Genomic DNA, 22,371 nt, shown 5'->3' with positions numbered 1-22,371 from the left:
CATAAAAATGGGCTGCTCTGTCTATGGAGTAGCCGTTTTTTAAATTCCTTTACTTTCTTAATAACCTTGTTTTCACTTTACTCTATGGACTCACCCTGAATTCTTTCTTTTGTGAGATCCAAGAAGCCTCTCTTGGGCTCTGGATTAGGACCCTTTTCCTGCGACACCAGTCTTTCACCTCCGCGGTTAAGTTTATTCCAGCATTTTATTCTTTTGATGCTATAATAAATAGAATTGTTTTTAAATTTCCTATTTGGATTATTCATTGTTAGCGCATAAAAATGCAACTTATTTTTGTGTGTTGATTTTGTATCCTACAACTTTGCTGAATGTATCAGCTATAATCATTGCGTGTGTGTGTGTGTGTGTGACATGTGAGATCATATGTTCTGTGAACAGAGCTACTTTTACTTCTTCCTTCCAAAGTGAAAATGAATTTTTAATTTCCTTTTATTGCCTAATTGTTCTGGCTAGGACATTCAGGACTATATTGAAAGTGATGAAAGTGGTGAACGCAGGCATGCTTGCCTTGTTCCTGATCTTGGAGGAAAAGCTTTCAGTCTTTCACAATTGAGTATGATGTTAGCTGTGAGTTTTTCACATATAGCGTTTATTATATTGAGGTAGTTTTCTTCTATTCTTCACTTCCTGAGTGTTTTTATCATGAAAGAATATTGAATTTTGTCACATGCTTCTTATGCATCGAGAGGATCATATGCTGTTGTTTTTCATTCTATTAATATGGTGTGTTACATTGACTGATTTTCATATGCTGAATGAAAGGTCACAATTGATAGACCTTTAGCTAGAATGACTAAGAAAAAAGGAGAGAAGTCTCAAATAACTAAAATCAGAAATGAAAGAGGGGACATTATGACTGATTTTACAAAAATAAAAAAATTATAAGGAAGTAACAATTATATGTCAGCAAATTAGATAACCTAGTGAAATGAACAAATTCCTAGAAACACAGAACCTACCAAGACTGAATCATAAAGAAATGAAAAATCTGAATAGACCTAAACTAAAAGGTGATTGCATCAGTAATCAAAAACCTCTAAACAATGAAAACTCAGGAGCAGATGGCTTCACTGGCAAATTCTACCAAACATTTAGAGAATAGTTTATACCAATCCTTCTCAAACTCTTTCAAAAAATTAAAGAGGAGGGTACACTTCCTAATTCATTCTATGAGTCCAGCATTACCATGAAACCAAAACCAGACAAAGGCACTACCAGGAAGGAGAACTACAGACCAATATCCCTGATGAATATTCATGCAAAAATTCTCAATAAAATACTAGCAAACTGAATTCAACGGCATATAAAAAGGATTATACACCATGAACAAGTGGGATTTATTCCTGGAATGCAAGGCTGTGCCAACTAGACTGCACTGTTGAGTGCCCAGATTAAACCTTATTTCTGGGTGTGTCTGTGAGGGTGTTTCTGGGTGAGATTAGCATTTGAATCAGTGGACTCAGTAAAGTAGATGGCCTTCCCAGTGTGGGTGGGCCTCATCCAATCCACTGAAGATCTGAATAGAACAAAAGGTGAAGGAAGGATCAATTTGCTCCTTTTTCTTGTCTGCCTGCTTGAGCTGAGACATTGTTACCAGAAAGGGGTCCCAATCCAGACCCCAAGAGAGTGTTCTTGGATCTCGCACAATAAAGAATTCAGGGCAAGTTCATAAAGTGAAAGCAAGTTTATTAGGAAAGTAAAGGAATGAAAGAATGACTACTCCATAGACAGAGCAGCCCCAAGGGCTGCTAGTTGCCCATTTTTATGGTTATTTCTTGGTTATATGCGAAACAAGGAGTGGATTATTTATGCCTCCCCTTTTTAGACCATATAGGGTAACTTCCTGATGCTGCCATGGCATTTGTAAACTGTCATGGCGCTGGTGGGAGTGTAGTAGCCAGGACAACCAGAGGTTACTCCTGTCTCCATCTTGGTTTTGGTGGGTTTTGGCCAGCTTCTTTACTGCAATCTGTTTTATCAGCAAGGTCCGTCTGACCTGCATCTCATGCTGACCTTTTATCTCATCCTGTAACTAAGAATGCCTTAACTGTCTGGGAATGCGGTCCAGCAGGTCTCAGCCTCATTTTACACAGCCCTTGCTCAAGATACAGTCACTCTTGTTTGTACATCTTCTGACAATGTCAGTCTCCTGCCATTGGTTTAGGATTTACACCATCAGCTCCCCTGATTTTTAGGCCTTTGGACTTGGGCTGGAATTACACTACAAGGTTTCCTGAGTTTCCAACTTGCAGACAGCAGGTCTGCAGTTCTCAGCCTTCATAATCATGGGTGCCAACTTCTGATAATAAATCTCCTTTTATATTTACCCTCTGTCTCTCTCTCTCTCTCTCTTTCTGTCTCTATCTATCTGTCTTTAATTTCCCTTTGGTTCTGTTTCTCTGGAGATTCCCAACTAATGAAATTTTAATCAAATACAAAAACAGTACTCAGAGGCTATGCCCCCACTTCATGTGACTAATGTCACAAATCATATCTTTATAATACTATGTTATGCTCATTAACATAGATTTATAATTATTTATTACATACTTATCTCTTAAATTCTGTATAAAATAAAAAAATTAGTTATAAACAAAAATTACAATAATACTGTTGTTTTCTATTTATCCATGTATTTACTTTTACTGAAGAATGTCATATTTTTGTATGGCTTTAAGTTTCTGTCTAGTGTTTTTTCATTTCAACTTAAATAACCCATTTTTGGCATTTCTGGTTGGACAAGTCTATGGTAATGAATGCGTTCAGCTTTTGTTTGGGAATATATTAATTCTTCCTTCTTTTTTTTTTTTTCTGAGACAGATTCTCTCTGTGTCACCCAGGCTAGAGTGCAGTGGCATGATCTTGGCTCACTGCAACCTCCTCTCCCTGGGTTCAAGTGAGTCTCGTGCCTCAGCCTCCCAAGTAGCTGGGACTACGGGTGTGGCCGCCACACCTGGCTAATTTTTTTTGTAATTTTAGTAGAGACAGGGTTTCACCATGTATGCCAGGCTGGTCTCAAACTCCTGACCTCAAGTTATCCACCTGCCTGGGCCTCCCAAAGTGCTTGGATTACAGGTGTGAGCCACCTTGCCTGGCCTTCCTTCATTTTTGAAAGACAGTTTTGCCCTACACAAAATCCTTCGTTGATTTTTTTTCACTCCAGCAGTTTAAATATATAATGTTATTCCTTCTGGCCTTTAAGGTTTCTGCTAAGAAATCGACTGATAATCTTACTGAGGCTTCCTTGTACATGGTGAACATCACTTTTCTCTTGCTGCTTTCAAACTTCTCTGTCATTTGCTTTTGACAATTTGATTATAGTGTGTCTCATTGTGGGTCTCTTTGGGTTTATCCCACTTAGCGTTCATTGAGCTTCTTGGATAACATAGCCATGCCTTTCTCCTAATTTGGGACGCTTTCAGCCATTATTTCCTCAAATAATCTATCTCCCCCTTTCCCTCTCTTTCTTCTCCTTCCGCAATTTTTACAATCCTGTGTTGGTCTGTTTGATGGTGTCTCATAAGTCTCATAGGCCCTATTCACTTGTCTTCATTCTTTTTGCTCCTCAGACTTGATAATTTCAAAAGATTTGACTTCATGTTTGCTGATTCCTTCTGTTTGTTTGAGTCAGCTGTTGAACCTCTCTAGTGAGTTTTTCAATTCAGTTCTTACGTGTTTTACTTCCAGAATTTCCTTATTGTTGTTACTAATTTCTGTCTGTGGAAGTTTTTATTTTATTCCTACATTGTTTTTCTAATTTCCTTTAGCTCTTTGAGCATACTTAAGAGAGTTGTTTTAAAGTAAGTTTGAGATGTGTGTTACTGCAGGGATTGTTTCTGCAGTTGTATTGTGTCCTTTTGAATGGGTTACGTTTTTCTGTTTCCTTGCATCCCTTGTGATTTAAGTTGGGTATTTAAAAAAACAGCCACCTTCTCCAATCTTGCAAACTGGCATGGAAAACCTTCAGTAATTTACGAGCCCCTGAGCCTCAATATCAGACTGGGGTTATGGTTTAAAGTCTTCTCAGGTCTTTTCTGAACATGTGTCCTGACTTGGTCTATGTGTGTGTTTCCCCCACCACCCACCCTAATTATCTCTGGCTGCATTGAAAAGTCTTGATTCCCCAGAGTCTCATCCTAGCTTCCTATGGCCTTAGATGTCCTATTGTAATGCTCTGTGCATACTGTCTTGCCCCCAAGTGCCCATGGATCTGCATTCCCTTTGCAGTTTTCATGTACACACCCGCCACTGCCTTCTACAGCTTCTAGCCTGAGATCCAAAATATGCCAGTGTCCCCTATCTGAGCTCTGAGTCAGGCAAGGCAAGACCAGACCCTCAGGTGACCCACAGAAAGGTCAGAATGTTGCAAACAATTCTACCCTGCTCTTTCCATCCCAAAGGGAAAACCAGGAATTAGGCTACTTCCTCCAGATTTCACCATGCTGGGAAGGTGAGACAAGGTAAGTAAAAATGCTATGAAATGTCCCACCATGTTGAAGGTAGATTTCTCTTGGTTGAGCTTTTGTTTGGTTGCTGTAGATCTTTGACTTGTTTTCAGAGTTCCTATAAAGTTATTTTTGTCACCCTAGCGGTTTATTTGGTGTTTCTATGGGGGAACAAGGGCCTGAAGCTTCCTCATCCACTAACCTGCTGATGTCATTGTTAATAAAACATTTCGAAAGAAAATTGATGATGGGTGAATAGCACATGAGAAGGTACAGTTATATGTGTGGCTTCATTCCATTTAATTCCTCTGTCAAGAAAGAATCAACTAGAACCCGAAGACAGCCCAGTTAATTCAACTGGTTTTGTGAGGAAAAAAATACTGTATTAGTATGTGTATATCTATTTCATTCAATTCAATCTAACTTAACAAGTTTGTTTTAGCCCCTATAATTAGCAAAGAAAATAAAATATTTGGGTAGTTGTATAAAAAAGCAATGCATAGATAAAAGAAAAATAATAAAGAATAAATTTATGAAAAGAACCAAAAGGAACATTTGGGGAAAATTTATGAAATGTTAGCTAACCCTCATAACAATAGTTTATTTCATAAGTGTTGAAATGGAATATGAATAAGCAGAAAAAATGTGAGTACAATTTAGGAGCTATTGATGAACTCTAAAAGTGTGAAAAGCAGAGGTAATATAAAACATGTACTTCCGTTGGGCCCAGTGGCTCATGCCTGTAATCCTAGCACTTTGGGAGGCCAAGGCGGGGTGGGGGAATAACTTGACAGCAGTTCAAGACCATCCTGGGCAACATGGTGAAACCCTATCTCCACTGAAAAAATTAAAAAATTAGGGCCAGGCGTGGTGGCTCATGCCTGTAATCGCAGCAGTTTGGGAGGCCGAGGCGGGTGGATTGCTTGAGGCCAAGAGTTCAAGACCAGCCTGGCCAACATGATGAAACCCTCTCTCTACTAAAAATACAAAAAATTAGCCCTGCATGGTGGCAGGTGCCTGTAATCCCAGCTACTTGGGAGGCTGAGGCAGGAGAATCACTTGAACCTAGGAAGTGGAGGTTGCAGTGAGCCGAGATCACACCATTGCACTCCAGCCTGGGAAACAAGAGCAAAACTCCATCTCAAAAAAAAAAAAAAAAAAAATTTAAGAAGTTAGTTGGATGATTTATGTTCCAGATCCCTGAGGAATCGCCACACTGACTTCCACAATGGCTGAACTAGTTTACAGTCCCACCAACAGTGTAAAAGTGTTCCTATTTCTCCACATCCTCTCCAGCACCTGTTGTTTCCTGACTTTTTAATGATCGCCATTCTAACTGGTGTGAGATGGTATCTCACCGTGGTTTTGATTTGCATTTCTCTGAAGGCCAGTGATGATGAGCATTTTTTCATGTTTTTTGGCTGCATAAATGTCTTCTTTTGAGAAATGTCTGTTCATATCCTTCGCCCACTTTTTGATGAGTTTGTTTTTTTCTTGTAAATTTGTTTGAGTTCATTGTAGATTCTGGATATTAGCCCTTTGTCAGATGAGTAGGTTGCAAAAATTTTTTCCCATTCTGTAGGTTGCCTGTTCACTCTGATGGTAGTTTCTTTTGCTGTGCAGAAGCTCTTTAGTTTAATTATAAATCATGCTGCTATAAAGACACATGCACACGTATGTTTATTGTGGCACTGTTCACAATAGCAAAGACTTGGAACCAACCCAAATGTCCAGCAATGATAGACTGGATTAAGCAAATGTGGCAAATATACACCATGGAATACTATGCAGCCATAAAAAATGATGAGTTCATGTCCTTTGTAGGGACATGGATGAAGCTGGAAACCATCATTCTCAGCAAACTATCGCAAGGACAAAAAAACAAACACTGCATGTTCTCACTCATAGGTGGGAATTGAACAATGAGAGCACATGGACACAGGAAGGGGAACATCACACACCGGGGACTGTTGTGGGGTGGGGGGAGTGGGGAGGGATAGCATTAGGAGATATACCTAATGCTAAATGACAAGTTAATGGGTGCAGCACACCAACATGGCACATGTATACATATGTAACAAACCTGCACGTTGTGCACATGTACCCTAAAACTTAAACTATAATAATAATAAAATAAAATAAATTAGTTGGGCGTGGTGGCACATGCCTGTGTTTCCAGCCTCTAGGGAGGCTGAGGTGGGAGGATTACTTGAGCCTGGGAGGCGGAGGTTGCAGGAAGCCGAGATTACGCCACTGCACTCCAGTCTGGGTCACAGAGTGAGACTCTGTTTCAGGAAAAAAAACACAAAAATCCCACAAACAAACAAAAACCTTACATATTATTTCTTTCTTCTATACTCTTTTCATTACTACTTCTGCTGTTTTCCATGTACCTCCATTTCCAAAAAAAAGATTTCCTAAGTAAAAGTAAAAATACTTGGGATAAGTTATACCCCAAATAAAGCATGGCTGTTTACTAAATATAATAAACCACTTAGGAAAACCATTTTGGTAAACCATTGATTTTTGAAATTTAAATATTGGAATCAAGAAGGAAACAAACCTCCAAGAGGCTACATTCAGGTGAACCTCTCCAGCTTATTTGAGCTCAAACCAAAGTGATAGATTAGCTTAACAACAATCTTTCCAGAAAGTTGTATAGTTTCCCAATTACATTTTATTAGTTTGATTGAAATCTACTCTCTTTTTAACTACTTTTCTTCATTTGTTGAATATGTATTTGTTATGAACTGAATGTTTATATTCTCCTAAATTCATATGTTGAATTCCCAATGTGATGGTATTTGAAGATGGGACTTTTGGGAGACAATTAGGTTTAGATAATATCATGAGGGTGGGGCTTTCATGATGGAATTAATGCCCTTCTAAGAAGAAATATGAGAGCTTGCTCTCTCTCCAAGGCCACCACCTCACCTGCCATGTAAGGACATGGCAATAAGGTGGCCATCTACAAGCCAGCAACAGAGCCATGCTGGTACCTTGGGCTGAGATTTCTAGCCTCCAGGAATGTGAGAAAGTAAATTTCTGTTGTTTAAGCCGCCTAATCCATGGTATTTTGTTATGGCAGCCTGAGCAAATTAAGAAGTATTTACTGAGCACTTTCTATGTGCCCAGTATTGGGGTAAATGCTGAATGTGAAATAAAAGTAAGACACAGTCATTGATCTTAAGAATCAGAGTCTGTCTTGGGCAACTGACATATAAACCAGTAATTTAATACCAAATGATCGGTGCTGCAGTAGGCCAAAACACAGAGCCCTGTGTGAGTACAGAGGAGAAAGCCTTCATATCTGCTATCATCCAGTGGCTCTATTTCATGTTCGAAAATGTCCTTAAGCCTCTTATAATTCAAAAATTCTGAGGTCCTGCCTGCATGATGGTGAGTTTTCATGTTGTGTGTTTGGGACTCATCTCCTATCTTTTAATGCAAGATGCATCAGTGCATGAGTTAATGTCTCTGTATTTTCTTCCCAGTTTGGCATTTGACCAGACTTTGGGATAGTCACACCTCTCCAGCTTTTTGTCAGTTTTTCCATCTGTAAATTGAAATGTTAATATTTATCATAAACTTCTGTACATGGATAAATTAAACAATAGGATAGCGCTCAAAGTGGGAAGGGTAAAAACAAGCAAGAAGATTCGTATTCCATTAAGGTGATAAAAATGATGTAGGGCAATAAATAACAAATAAAATTGATAAGGCTAATTCTCTTAAGTCAGTGCTTGTTAGATTACGATGGGCACATAAAGCACATGCAGCTCTTGTTAAAATGCAGGTTTTGATTCAGAAAATCTGGGATCGTCTCAAGATTCTGTGTTTCTAACAGGCTCCCCAGGTAGGCCGATGCTTCTGCCAGGTAGACTACACTATGAGCAGCAAGATTTCAATGATTTCAGGCCCTACTGTAAGTGCAGGTATAATTTTCATAATTTCTAAATGTTTATTTACTTACCAGAGCCACTAAGGCATCACTTAAGATGGTGGTTCTCAAACTTTTTGGTTTCAGAACCCCTTTTACAATCTTAAAAACTACTGTGGAGCGCTTATATCTACCTGTACTTACCACATTTGAAATTAAAATTGAGAAAATTTTAGAACACAAGAGTATATCACCACATATCGTATTATTTTTCAGACTCATCATGTTATTCCATATCCTGTAGCCTCAAGAAAACACTACTCTACACTCATGAGAGACTGAGAATGAAAAAGCAAATGGTGTTTACTACTATTATGAAAATTCTTTTGACCTCCCTGATCCCTTGAAAGAAATGGCTGATTAAGACATTTTCCTTCCTTCCTCCCTTCCTCCCATCCTTCCCTCTCTCCCTTCCTCCCTTCCCTTCCTCTCTGCCCCCCTCCCTCCCTCCCTCTCTGCCCCCGTCTCTCTTTCTTTGTTTTTTGTTTCTTTCTACATAAGATCTCATTCTATCACCCAGGCTGCAGTGTAGAGGTGCAATCGCAGCTCACTGTAGCCTAGAACACCTAAACACAAGTGATTCTCCTGCCTGAACCTCCTGAGTAGCTGGGACTACAGGTGTGTGCCACCACGCCCGGCTAATTAAAAAAAAAAAATTTTTTTTTTTTTTTTTTTTTTTTTTTTTTTTTTTTTTTTTTTTATAGATAGTATCTCACTATATTGCTCAGGCTGGTCTCAAACTCCTGGCCTCAAGTGATTCACCTGCCTGGGCCTCCCAAAATGCTGGGTTTACAGGTGTGAGCCACTGCACCTGGCCAAGACATTGTTCTTTCAATATACATAGCTGTACCACAAACACTACTAAATTAATCAGAAAACAATCTATGGTCATTTAATTAACTTAAAGATGCCTTTCTTGAGAACCTAGTATATACAAATCAAGGTATCCAAGTTTTCCCATTAAAAATGTATGATTAAAGCTGTAGTTCTTATCTCTGGGAACTTTTAAAAAAATATCAATCTGATCTCCATTCAGATCAATTAAATTAATATCCCTGGAAATTAATACTGTTTAAAAAACTAAGAGGTGATTCTAATTTGCAGCCAGAATTAAAAACCACCACTAGGTTAAGGAAGCAGGATATAAAGTACAGAGGCCCAAAGTAGAAGAAAGTGTGCACATGGGGTCAACATTGCTTAGGGGTCAGATGGACCAGGTCAGAGTCTCGGTACTATTGTTATCTAGCTGTGTGATCTTACACAATAAGCTTATCATCTCTCACTTTCAATTTCTTTAACTATAACTTGGGATAGTAATGGTTCAAACTTATATAGGGTTGTTGTGAGGATTAAATGAGGAAAAGCATGGAAAGCACATGGTAAATATTCATCAAATATTAGCATTATTAATAGAGACATTAAGCACTGCAAAATCTAACCAGACAAACTATGAATTAAACACGTTATGTTGGGATGGAAGGTAGGTTGCAAACATTTGATATGGACCTGGAAGGAAGATAAAATTAATCTGAAGGCAATTGCCACTCTTACTATCACCCCTGGCACAAATTGGCTTAACACAGCTTGGGGTATGATTGAATAGCGTGTTTTTGTTTTTGCTTCTTTAATCCTTGATGGAGAAAAGGAGCCAAAGTAGTAGGTTTAGCAGCAAGGATTTTTGTCTACCGCTGATGGGTTCTGAAAGGGTTTGTTGATCTCCAACACTAGATCTTTCACATCCTGAGAAAGGAGCTCCCCTGAAACCATAATAAACCAGCCAGGCTATACTGCATAAACAGTCCCATTTACTGTTAGTATATAAACATTGCTTTGGCATTAATATAGAAAATATGAATCAGAGGGTCTTATTCATAAATACAATATTTGGATAAGAAGAAAAGCCACCGTAGAGTTAATTTGCCTGTAAAGTCAAAGGGAAAAAAGAGGTGGAAGTAGAAATTCTGCTGTCAGCTTCAAGTAATACTTTGGATACACGGCAATTATCTGGTTAATCTGGTCAGTGTGGAAAAATTCAAGAACTCTTTCAAATTGGCTAGCCACACCGACCAAAGTATTCAAATAAGTAACAAATCTCTACTTTGTATTGGGGAGAGGGGTAATGTTAAAAATATGTAATAAAATGGTACAATATGAAAAAATGGTACAGTATAGGAACTAACAATCACAGCAGATAATTGCCCAAGCAGACCCAATGTCAACTGTAAATATATGGTTCATCTGTACTTAGGTGTACCCACTAACTATCAGCTTTAGGGTGGGTGTCATCTCTTGTCTCTTTTTTCTTAGCACTCTTTCATGAAAATTAACTCTTCAAGATATGTTACCTAAATATTTAAGGATCCCAGCTGGTTTTATGTACTCATCATTTTAACCACTTAACAACAACAAACAGTCTTTATTTTTTATTGTAGAGACATCTGAAGCAAAATAAAGAATTTTAATGCTCTGTGTCTTTTCAAAATAGATCATTTAGAATACTGTTAAGATTGTTTTGCTGGGCATGGTGGCTCTCACCTGTAATCCTAGCACTTTGGGAGGCCAAGGTGGGTGGATCATGAGGTCAGGAGTTCAAGACCAGCCTGGCCAAGATGGTGAAACCCCGTCTCTACTAAAAATACAAAAAATTAGCTGGGCACGGTGGCAGGCACCTGTAATCTCAGCTAGTCGGGAGGCTGAGGCAGGAGAATTGCTTGAACTCGGAGGGTGGAGGTTGCAGTGAGCCGAGATTGCACCACTGCACTCCAGCCTGGGCAACAGAGACTCTGTCTCAAATTGTTTTTTAAAATGGCAGAGTAAAACAACAAGGAAAGGTAATAGAAATGCAAGCTCCACCCATGGCAACACTAGGAAGTATATATATAACAATATATAAGAAGAGCTGGCAAAATCAGTGGAGATCAAGATACCAAGAAAAAGTGCTCAAGCTGCCAATCTCAGAAAACAACAGAATACAGTTTTCCAAGGTTTGTCCCTTAAAGGGATAAAACCAACAATCTCTTGTTTGAAACAACATACATAAGTACTCTTGATAGCTTCAGGAAGCCTGGAAGGTATGGTTGAATGAGGAATCACAGAGAGAAGCCACCTTTGCAGGAAATGACCCATCAATTAGATTAGAAAGCGAAATACTGAGTTTAGTTAAAGAGATATAATGTTTCAGTAACTCATCACATACACACACAACCCTGAATGTTAAGAAGAATATTTGCTAGCTTGAAACATGGCACTGATCCCTTTTCCCCACAAACCTCTAACAAATCGCTGATCCAGAAATAATTTATGTACTTCAAAGATACTGCAAAGAGGAACAAGGGGTGAAACAGAAATTTTAAATACCACAGAAAGCACTTACGTCAGAAAAAAATAAGTTGCATTTAACAAATGAACATTTTGACCAAGTATATATCATTGTAAATTTTAAATCTTTAAGAAGCAACCACTTCTCTAAATCAAGAGCATAAAGCAGAAATGCAAGAGCTCAGAGAATTTATAGTAGGACAATAGAAAGAGATGAAACATGAATTGATAACATAGGAAAAAGTGAAATGTAAAACTATAATAATTCTACAAACAAAGGTCAAACTGAAGCAAGTGAGAAATACAGTAAGGATTATAGAGAAGAGAATTGAGAAAAGCAAGTAAAAGTATATGAAAATAGAAAATACTATACTATAGTTAACAATACTGTATTGTACACTTAAAAATTTGTTAACAGGGTAGATCTCATATTAAGTGTTCTTACAACAATAAAATAAAGTTTGAAAAGCAAGCAAAAATTAAGGCTTATAAGAGATATAAGAAAAATATAAATGGCAGAGAGAATAAAAAGGCATAATTTCTATCTGAAGAAGAGGACAATATAATGAAAGTGGCAAATATTTATTAATATAATTGTTTTTAACTTTCAAGAATTGAGTGAAGATTTGATTCTACAAATAAAGGTGACATGCAATGCTGCAGGAAAAATTGATACAGAAGAATCATTGTTAAGATGGTCTAGTAAAGTCACTGAACTTCAAAGATAAAATATCAAATCAATTAGAGTGGAGGAAAAATACTCATGCTGTTCTCAGACAACTTTAATGCTATATTCACTACTAAAAATGACAGTCTGTAAAACCTACAAAGTTCTCAATGAAAAAAAGTAACCTAAGAATTTTATTCTTAGATAGGGTGAACAACTTGTCCTGGTTTACTCAAGACTGTCTCAGTTTTAGCACTGAAAGTTCTACATCCTAGAAGCCCCCTTAATTCCTGGGCAAACCTTCATTTCAAGTGTCCATACAATGCTTATTACAATGTCATGTATTAGGCTACAGTGAAGAGCTCAGTGAATTTCTACCTGTATAAATAATACACATAACATTCTCTAGTTACTTGAAGTAAACCTAGAAATTAATGTAAAAGCTAAAAAGTAGAAAAATCTCTACCATTGCCTATTTTCTTCCACCTCTGCCACCTTTGAGACAGCAAGACCAATACCCCCCTTTCTCCTCCTCCTCAGCCTACTCAGTGTGAAGACAATGAAGATGAAAACCTTTATGATGATCCACTTCCACTTAATGAATAGTAAATATATTTTCTCTTCTTATGACTTTCTTAATAACATTTTCTTTTCTCTAGCTTACTTCATTGTAGGAGTACAGTATATAATACATATAACGTACAAAAATGTGTTAATGATGTTTATGTTATCATAAGGCTACCAGTCAACAGTAGGCTATTAGTAGTTAAGTCTTGGGGGATTCAAGAGTTATACACGTATGTTCAATTGCACGGGGGTTGACACCTCTAACCCCTGCGTTGTTCTGGAGTCTACTATATAATGAAATAGTTGGGGGAAGAAAACTGATTTCTTAAACTACTTTGAAATAAGTCAACGCAGTAAGATGGATTGCTGGATAAACAGAGATAAATGTTACAAATGATCATAAAGAAAATGTTATTTGTAGAATCTATGAAATCAATAAATCTATGTGTTCCCTGTATAATTTTTTTCAACTTTGTTGTATGTTTAGAATTTTTCATAGCAAAATATTGACAAAAAATTATCTCAAGAAATTAGAAAGCAAATGACAAAAGGAAATTTTGGTAAGTATGAAAACTGAAATTGATAATGTCAAAACAGAAAAATGATAGAGTTAATAATTCCAAAAACTACTTTAAAAAATAATGAAGTGGATAAACAATTACCTAATTTAATAAAATAAGTATTAAGCAGAAATATGCAACATTTACAAAGATAATAGGAAATGATCATAGACACACAGACTTTGAGTTATTCACAGAAGAGTACTTCAAGTCTGCAAATAAGTTTGGGAACCGAGAGATAATGTATAATTGTTTATGACAATAGAAAATTTCCAAAAAATGACACCACAACAGATATAAAACCTTATTAACCATATATTTAAAATGTTGGTTGCCTCGTTTTATTCAGCAGTTTTGTATATGTTCTGTAATGAGAAGGTTTTTTTTTCAGATATATAATCTACCATATTGTCATAAATAGAAGTTTGCAAAAATCTCTTGTAAACTACAAACACTCTGCAAACATAGCACACAAAAAAGCAAACCCATAGACCATGGTCATTTATTAATACTGATGCAAAATCTTAAATAAAATACCCATAGACATAATCTGCTAGAATCAATGCCTAGATCATTCGATATTAGGAAATCTGTTACTAAAATACTATGGATCACATATTAATTAGTCGAAAGAGAAGAATCATACTTTCATTTCCATAGATGCTTAAGAGCTTCAATACAATATAATAATACCCATTCTAGATTTTTAAAATCTTAAATACCAAAAATAGATTCATCTTAACAGGAATCACACATATATGTCTATCTAAATCTATCTAGATATACATATAGAAAGTGGGTGTCTGTCTGTTTGTATGTATGTATGTAAGTATACCAGCTTCTTGCTAGCGAGATTGTCATTGAAAGCCTTGTTTTTAAAATCTGGAACAAGAAAGCAAGGCTTTTGTAAGCAATCTTATACTGTTCCTGAGGCAACAGTCCATGCAATTAGACAATAGAAAAACATTTTCTTAATTTAAGGTGGCAACATTATTTTTATAGGTGATATAATTGTTTACCTGAAAAACTCAAGAGAATCAACTTAAAAATATAACACAAATGATGTGAGAATTCAGAAAAAAGACTGAGAAAAAATTCATAGTCATTATATATATGAAGAACAACCAGTTAGATGATATATTAACAAAAAGTATCTAGAAATAAGCCTAATATAAAAACGTTAAAATTATACTTAGGGTCATAAACAAAGACTTTAAAATATGGACATAAAGTCCAATCTCAAACAGGAAGATTCAATATTATAAAGATGTCAGTTCTCCTTAAGTCAATATATTTTAATTCACTCTACTCCCAACAAAAATACAAACAATATTTTTTAACTACAGGAGATGATTCTTAGTTTATGAGAATGCAAAATTTATGAAGCAGATGAAATAGAAATTTATAAAATAGAAAAGTAATGAGGAAGAACAGTATCTATGAGATATTAAAACATATTGAAAAGTTACATTAATTAGTTTATAAATCTACAGATACTAGACTCATGCTTTGTGAATAGTAGAAAGATCAACAATGGGAAAAAGACTACAAAAGCCAGAAATAATAATAAGTAGAAAAGCAATAATAGCTTATGTTATTTAGAGCCTCTTGTATACCAGGCTACACAATTTTAAGCCTTACACAATTTTTACCTTGCATTTTGTTATCAGCAATCTCATGGTGTTATTGCTATTTTTATCCTCACTTAGTGCATGAGGGAATTGAGAAAAACAAATTACATAATTTGTTCAAGTTTGTACCACTCGCAAATAAAGGAGATAAACTTCAAACCCAGATAGCTGGACTGCAGAGCCCACACTCTCAAATATTATGCCTTACTGCCTAAACACAAGGGAGAATTTAATAAATGAAAAGTGTATTTCAAATCACTTTCAAAGTGAAGGTTAGTCAATATAACCTACCTGGTTAAAAAATAGCAATGGAACCCTACCTCACATTTATTTAAACAAATTAATACCAGGTGGATAATATATTTAATATTTAAATAAACAAAAATTTAAAATAAAGATCAGGTATGTTATAAATAGTTTTGGTGCCACAAAATAAATAGCACTCAAATATAAAATTTTCTTTTTTTCTTCTCAGCAAGGCAATTTACTTCTATAGAAGGGTGCGCCCTCACAGATGGAGCAATGGTGAGTACACCCCTGGACAAGGAAGGGGAAGGTGTTCTTATCCCTGACGAACGTGGCTCCTGCTGCTGTGTCATTCATCTATTGGCTAGGTTAGACCACACAAGCTAAACTAATTCCGATTAGCTAATTTAAAGAGGGTGAGGGGGTGACTGGTTTGGTGGGAAAAATGGTTATGGAATGAGTCAGGGTGGAGAATGAGACAGGGTGGAGCAGGTAATTGGAATAAGTCAGGGTGGAGCAGGTGATGGGAATGAGTCTGGGCAGAGCAGGTGATCAGAATGAGTCAGGGTGGAGCAGGTGATTGGAATGAGTCAGGGTGGAGCAGATGATCGCAAAAGGTTGCTTTATGAGGAAGTGAAGTTTAAAAGTAGAAGGCAAAGAATTGAACGTAGTGACATATTGATTCTTCGAAGAGAAATTAATAACTCATGTCTAACAGGTACATCATTGCTGCATGATTCTTAACAACAAAATCAAAATATCCATTAACTAAGGATTGGATTATAAATTGGAGTAAATTCATACTGTGTATTACTGTTCAGTTATTTTAAAAATCGAGGCAGCATTATTTATACGGCAGTGAAATATGATGCAAAACATATCATTGAGCATAAAAAGGAACAGAACTTTGTGTGTAGTGTGCTATCATTTGTTTTAGACGTGTGAGTGGTCTGAGTGCAGATGCACAGATGATCTTTAAAGTATGCAGGGGAATTGGAAATTAGGCAACAGGGATTGCCTATGGGGAAGAGAACTTGATGGCTAAGGTCCAGGGTAAGAGGAACTTAATGTTTACTGTATATCCTTTTTTGCCTTTTGAGATTTTTACAGTGTACATGCTATTACCTATTCATAAATAATAAAATTTAAAACCAACAAGTACAAGTGAGTATATTTTAATCATCCCCTGCGTAATGCTATCTCTGCCAGGTGAAGTAAGCAACTTTTGTGAAAACACAAAGAATAGTGAAGTTTAGAAGAAAAGAGTGGTGGAGAAAAAAGTTAATAATGGATTTTTAGGGCTTACTTTTCTTCAGGTCATCTTGTCTTTTAACAATCTATGAACACTAAAGTTATTTAGAAAGTAACACATATTTGAGATAAGAACAACAATAGTGATAATAGCCAACACAATTGGTGTTTACACTTAGACAGACACCATTTTAGTGCTTTGCATACATTTACTTATTTAAGCCACACAGCAACTCTACATGCTGTGTGTGTGCGTATTATGATCCGCATTATTCTGAAGAGTAAATCTGAGTTTCCATTTGGTTCATCCCTCACAGCATTTCCACCAGATGAAGAGTCACAGAGTAGACAGGGGAAGATGACAAAGCCATCTGGCCACATTTCTATAGCCAGTCCCCAAGGCAGAGTTTTCCGAGACATCACCTCCCACAACTGGAATGGCTCCAGAAGCACAAGGTCCTGCACTGGTTACAAGATGATCATGGGCCGTTGGGTGGACGCCTGTGAGCAAATGCCAACAATCAAAGACAATGTTGCTGATGGTGCAGTTTCCTGCTTTGAATACCTCACATTCCTGCATATTCACAGGGAGGGCTGAAATAAATATTCATCCAGGACCATATACTGATTACCATGTGGTGGAGTACGTGTGAAGATGGAAAGGGCAATTAAGCACTCTGCTTACCGTTTATTATTTTATAGTGGTAACAGTTGTCACACAGGAAAAGCTCTAAGCATGGCATTTCGAGAAAATTCCATGCCAAAATGTAATTGCTCCACACCTCTATCCTAAGTGGCTGAAATTCCATAGCAAGGAAGCATAGTTGCCTTCTGTCTGCCAACTGCAACTTTTTAAAATGAAAATAAAATGAAATATATACAGTTTTCCCTCACTATCCATGGGGGATTGGTTCCAGGATCCCCACAGATACCAAAATCCACAGATGCCCAAGTCACTGATATAAAATGGTATAGTATTTCTATATAACCTACACACATCTTCCCGAATACTTTAAATAATCTCTAGATTACTTACAATACCTAATACAATGTGCTTAGTTGTTATGCTGTATTTTAAAAAATGTTTTAATGTCGTATTGTTGTTTTTTTCCCAAATATTTTCAACTAACTGTTGGTTGAATCTGTGAATGCAGAACCTGCACAAATAGAGAACTGATTGTGTGTGTGTGTTGTATGTGTATATATGTATATGTGTGTATGTGCATAAATATATATATAGTTAACACTTAACAAATAAGGTGAATCATATTAAAACAGCAAACACATAGGACTCAGTCAGTTATTTGTTCTGAGCCTCACTATGCCTCTTAGTAACTCTATGCAGCCAGGCAAGATTAGTTAATCTGTTTCTCATCTGTAAAATGGTGAAACTAATTCTCATTTCTTAGGGTTGTAGGGTGAGTTAATACACACACACACCACACACACCACACGCACACACACATCACTTGATACAGAATCCAGTTAAATGCTAAAGCATGCAGTTAAATGTTCCACTAACATCAGTTTCCTCCCACACTTTCCTACCAATTAACCCCATCTTCTTGGCAGGCAGTGCAAGAACACTTTGCTGAAACTAAATTTGACCATCTTGCCTGGAACTGGCTTTTTGTGCAGTGACCACCCACACTCTCTTTTTCACTCCACTCCCCTGACCCTTGACCCAGTCTGCTCATTATAGTTCACAGCATGATGAGCCAATCTCACAATGAAGAGGGACATTTCCTACCTTTGAGAAAAAAAATGGGCAGAGAACCAGCAGACTTGTGGTGCCTTCCATTTCCCATCTGTAAATTTCTCAAAATCCCTTCCAGTAAGCAATCTCTTGGGGCTCATAATGTGATTAATAGTATTAAGTGTCTCAGTTGTCTTGAGCATTTCAGATGCAAATCTTTCTTAATAATGTATAGTTATTGTATTATGGATGGGAGACAGTTTGATCAGGCTTCTTCCTCTTCTCATGCATGCTAGAATCTGAGGGGGCTTACACGAATCAATCAGTCAACCAACAAGTAAAAGTTTTGCTTCATTTCAGCAATGAGTTAATAGGGTTGCTGTGGGTCAAATCCAAGTGTCCCCTCTGGAATCCAGAGACCTCAAATCAGCAGGGCTAGATAGAATTCACATCACAGAGTGGCTCTTCCTGGGAGCCCTATAAAAAATGATTATCAATTTCATATTTGTCTGAAATGCCACCTTTGTAAAGTTGAATCTTAAAAGTGCAAATATAAGTGAGTACCATTTTCTCTCTGCAAACCTTGTTTCAATATCACTTACCCTACTGGGGTTGTCATTTTCTTGAAATGTGATTTCCAAACTGTCCAGTCCTAACAACTGTGCATCTCCTCTCCACTCCCTGCCCATTGACAACAAACTCTGCAGGATCCCACGATCACCTAGAACCACATGCCCTTGTCCGGGCATCCACTATTCTCCTTCCACTCACTGTCAGCTGGATTAAAAGGGGCCGAGCCAGTGTTCAGCTGCCCTCTTTATCTGCCTCCCCATTCCTTCCTCTGGCTATTCATGCTGCCGCAGAGGTCTGGACCAGCTTCCTGTAATCTCCTGGAGAGGGAAATTTCTCCCTTTAGCCTGGCCTCCCAAGCCTGGTTGTTTTGGGTCACTGATTTCCTCCTCTCTTCTCACTAGGGTTCATATAGCTTCCTTTGCTAGCCTGCTAACCCTTCTCCACCAGTGAGGAGTTTTAAGCCCTAGGATTTCAGAGTGCTCCTATGTTTCCTGCTGTTGGAGTGCAGGATTTCCTGAGCCAGGGATGTATACGGTTGAGGCACTGCTGGGCTCTATCCTGACTGTACCTTATAGAGATCATCCTACTCTCTGTACATCACATTTGTATCCCAGGGCATTGAGTTCTGTCCCTACTTTGATATATCATTTCCTTCACTCCCCAAAGCTGAGCAAAGTGGAAAATCCTCCATCCTCCAAGTACTCTTAACCCCTACTCTCTCCGTTTTGATTTGGGAGTGGTCCTTCTGCTTCAATTTCTCATCTGAAGGATTTAGTTTAAATACAAGATAAACTAGAAAAGCAAGATGTTGTATGAGGTGTAATCTTCCAGCTGAGGTCTCTTCTGAATGCCCTATCAAAAATATTAAATAATTCAAAAATAAAAGGATTAGCAGAAATACCTGTTAGGGTAAATTCTCTGATCCTTTTTGTTTCTGATGGAGGAGTGTAAGTAGACACTGTTAACAATTTAAAGGATGAATTGTGTGTACGAGAGAACTCCTGAATAGTAACTAGAAAATGACCATAGACATAAGTTAATTTTCAATCTGAGAAGGGCTGGTCTGATGGTAGTGGGTTATCAGAATTTATTAACATTAGTGTCACCAAAGTTGGTATAAAACCCCCAACTGCTAAATTTGACTGGCTAGAAAAACTAAATAAATATGAGAAGGTAGTATTTACCAGTGAAGACCCAAAGTAAAATACTTAATTTCTCACATGGCCAGATAACAAGAAATCCAACCCCTTTAATCCCTGCCTTACTACCTTCAGTTTTCCGACATCCTCACTATATACCCTGATATAGCCCAGAATGCCAAGGAGTTTACTAGAATTTCAACAAATTCTCAGTTTTCCAGTTTTATTTCTGGAGCAGGGACTCAGATGCACCTCTTTTGATGACCTTCATTGCTGTTGCAAAGCAAGTATCCTTCTTCCAAAGGTAGAGCTAGCTGAATTCCAGGCATTCAAAAAGGTTCTCTGTTGACTATGCCATAGCCACAAGGCTGAAGCATATTGCGGTTGGCCATGATCAAGGCCAAGGACCTGAGACTGGGCCTTCACTCCAATTCCTGCCTAGTCCCTGGCAGTTCATCAAGTTAGACTTGCTCTTCCCTAATACATTGCTCATTTAGGAGTTCCCACAACCAAATGACACTGAGTTGAACATGTTAGCCCTCAGACACATTTTTTTCAGGCTACCAGACTGTCCCCAGGATGCATGCTCATCTCAGCACCCATACTCTGGGAGCTCCTGAACCACCAGCCTTCAGAGTGGGAGCCCAGAGGTTCCTCTCTTTCTATTCTCTTGAAAACTTTATTTGAAGGACTTCACTGTTCTCCCCTGTTCCTGGGCCTTGGTTAAGGACATTATCTTCATCAAAACAGGTTTCCTTAACTTTGAATCTAAGAGAACAGGAGCTGGAAATCTCCTTGTAGACATCTGGACAATTGCCACATGAATTATTCACTCCTTTACAGTAAACTAAAAGCTCTGGTTATTTACAGTTTCTAACAAATTCCAACTCAGTGAACTGTCTACTGTGTTCTAAACTATGAACTCCTTGTGAACTTCAGGTCTTGTTGACTTCTATATCCAATGCTTACTGCCCCTGGTGCAGAACACTGTTCAGCAAATACTAGTTGGACGGATCTGAAGCCCAGAGCTCCTGCCTCTTCTAGGTAGTGGTGGTCTCCTCCAAGTCTCTGCTGGAGTTTACCAACTAATCTAGAATCCACCACTCATTGCTCACAGCTATTCTAGGCCATGCCATTACCCTCATAGGATGTTCTCCTGACGGGTTCTGCACCTGAGCTATTCTTTGCAGGTGATGTCAGGTGTGCTGTACTCTGACAAATAGGTATATTCTAAGTGTTCCATGAATAGAAGCTCTTGGCTCATCAATGAAGGTGATGACAGCTTTTCCAGGCACAGCCTTCTCCTTATCCCTTCTTAATGTATTAAATGGGCTGTGTGGAGTGGACCGTGTTATGTGACCAGATGGAGCCGGCCCTGCATCAAACTTTGCAGCAACCAGCTTGCTTCCCTTCTTACCACACTTTCTCCCCCCAGAATCCATGCTGTTTGGGGCCACTTCCAGCCTAGCTTCCACTTCCTGTAGGCTAGAATGAAAAATGATCTCACTTGCCTTCAGGTTATATGTTTATCAGAAGACCTTCAACAAAAGAGGAATGGAAAATGCCCTCGGTAAACTCAAGTTGGACTTCTACATGAAAATTGTGTTACAGTTGTATTTGGATGGCCACTTAGCTTGAGGAGCTGCCTATAGATAAATGATGTTCAGGTGTGCTGAGATTAAACTGAGACAGATTCTAGGTCATTTGTTGGTTTGGGGTCAGAGTCCAAATTAGTGACTGTATTTTATAATATTGAATATCTGGTCACTTAAGGTTAGTTTGGATTGGTGTGTAGTCTAACAGGCCTCTGGGAAGTATTGTCCTTTTCAATCTCACAAGCACATTAGTAATACTGCCAACTGTACCATCATTTTAAAATAAAAAAGATACAGTGCTTGACTCTAAGAATTTAACATCAAACAGAGAGAACAATTTTAAAATAAGGCATTGTGTTTATGACATTAGGAATGAAAAAAACAAAACAAAACAAAACAGAACAAAAATGAACAAACAAATATTAGTCATCTGGTAACTAAAAAATCCAGGCTTTTGTGTTGTTAAGCATCAACATTTTCTAAATAATACCATCCTACTTGCCCAATGGCTGCCACACTCTTGTCAAGGACAATATTTATTTCCATTTAAAAAGTAAATATTTCCTAACAAAGGGCATAGGATTGAATGATATAGCTTTGTCTCCACCTGCAGGAATAAAGAGAATGAATTATTATTTGTTATTTGAAAATATGTAAGACCTCTAGGATCATCATTAAAAATATGAGGTGAAATCAATACTCGAGCTTTACTAATACATTCT

The 22,371-nt window shown here is 37.6% G+C and overlaps 1 protein-coding gene and 1 pseudogene across 1 annotated transcript in view, besides 1 other annotated feature; one reads left to right on the top strand and one right to left on the bottom strand.

Moving 5' to 3' along the window:
* Nucleotides 1,199-1,815: an enhancer, noted in NCBI's record as "OCT4-NANOG hESC enhancer chr13:40377804-40378420 (GRCh37/hg19 assembly coordinates)". NCBI's record gives its function as "activates a minimal SCP1, AML or CMV promoter by ChIP-STARR-seq in primed H9 embryonic stem cells {active_cell/tissue: H9 hESC(primed)}" and the evidence as "EXISTENCE:reporter gene assay evidence [ECO:0000049][PMID:30033119]".
* The window catches only part of COG6 (component of oligomeric golgi complex 6), a 136,040-nt gene continuing 127,484 nt past the window's right edge, over nt 13,816-22,371 (bottom strand). Inside the window, exon 19 of the mRNA NM_001145079.2 lies at nt 13,816-17,147. Coding sequence (NP_001138551.1) covers nt 17,126-17,147 — 22 coding nt within the window. The 3' untranslated portion in view covers nt 13,816-17,125. The remainder of the gene's footprint in view (nt 17,148-22,371) is intronic.
* RNY4P14 (RNY4 pseudogene 14) lies at nt 19,972-20,063 on the top strand (annotated as a pseudogene).

This window comes from Homo sapiens, chromosome 13, assembly GCF_000001405.40.
Source record: "Homo sapiens chromosome 13, GRCh38.p14 Primary Assembly".
Lineage (NCBI taxonomy): Eukaryota > Metazoa > Chordata > Mammalia > Primates > Hominidae > Homo > Homo sapiens.
Note: the sequence above shows the minus strand (reverse complement) of the source record. Positions and strands in the feature narration are given on the sequence as shown.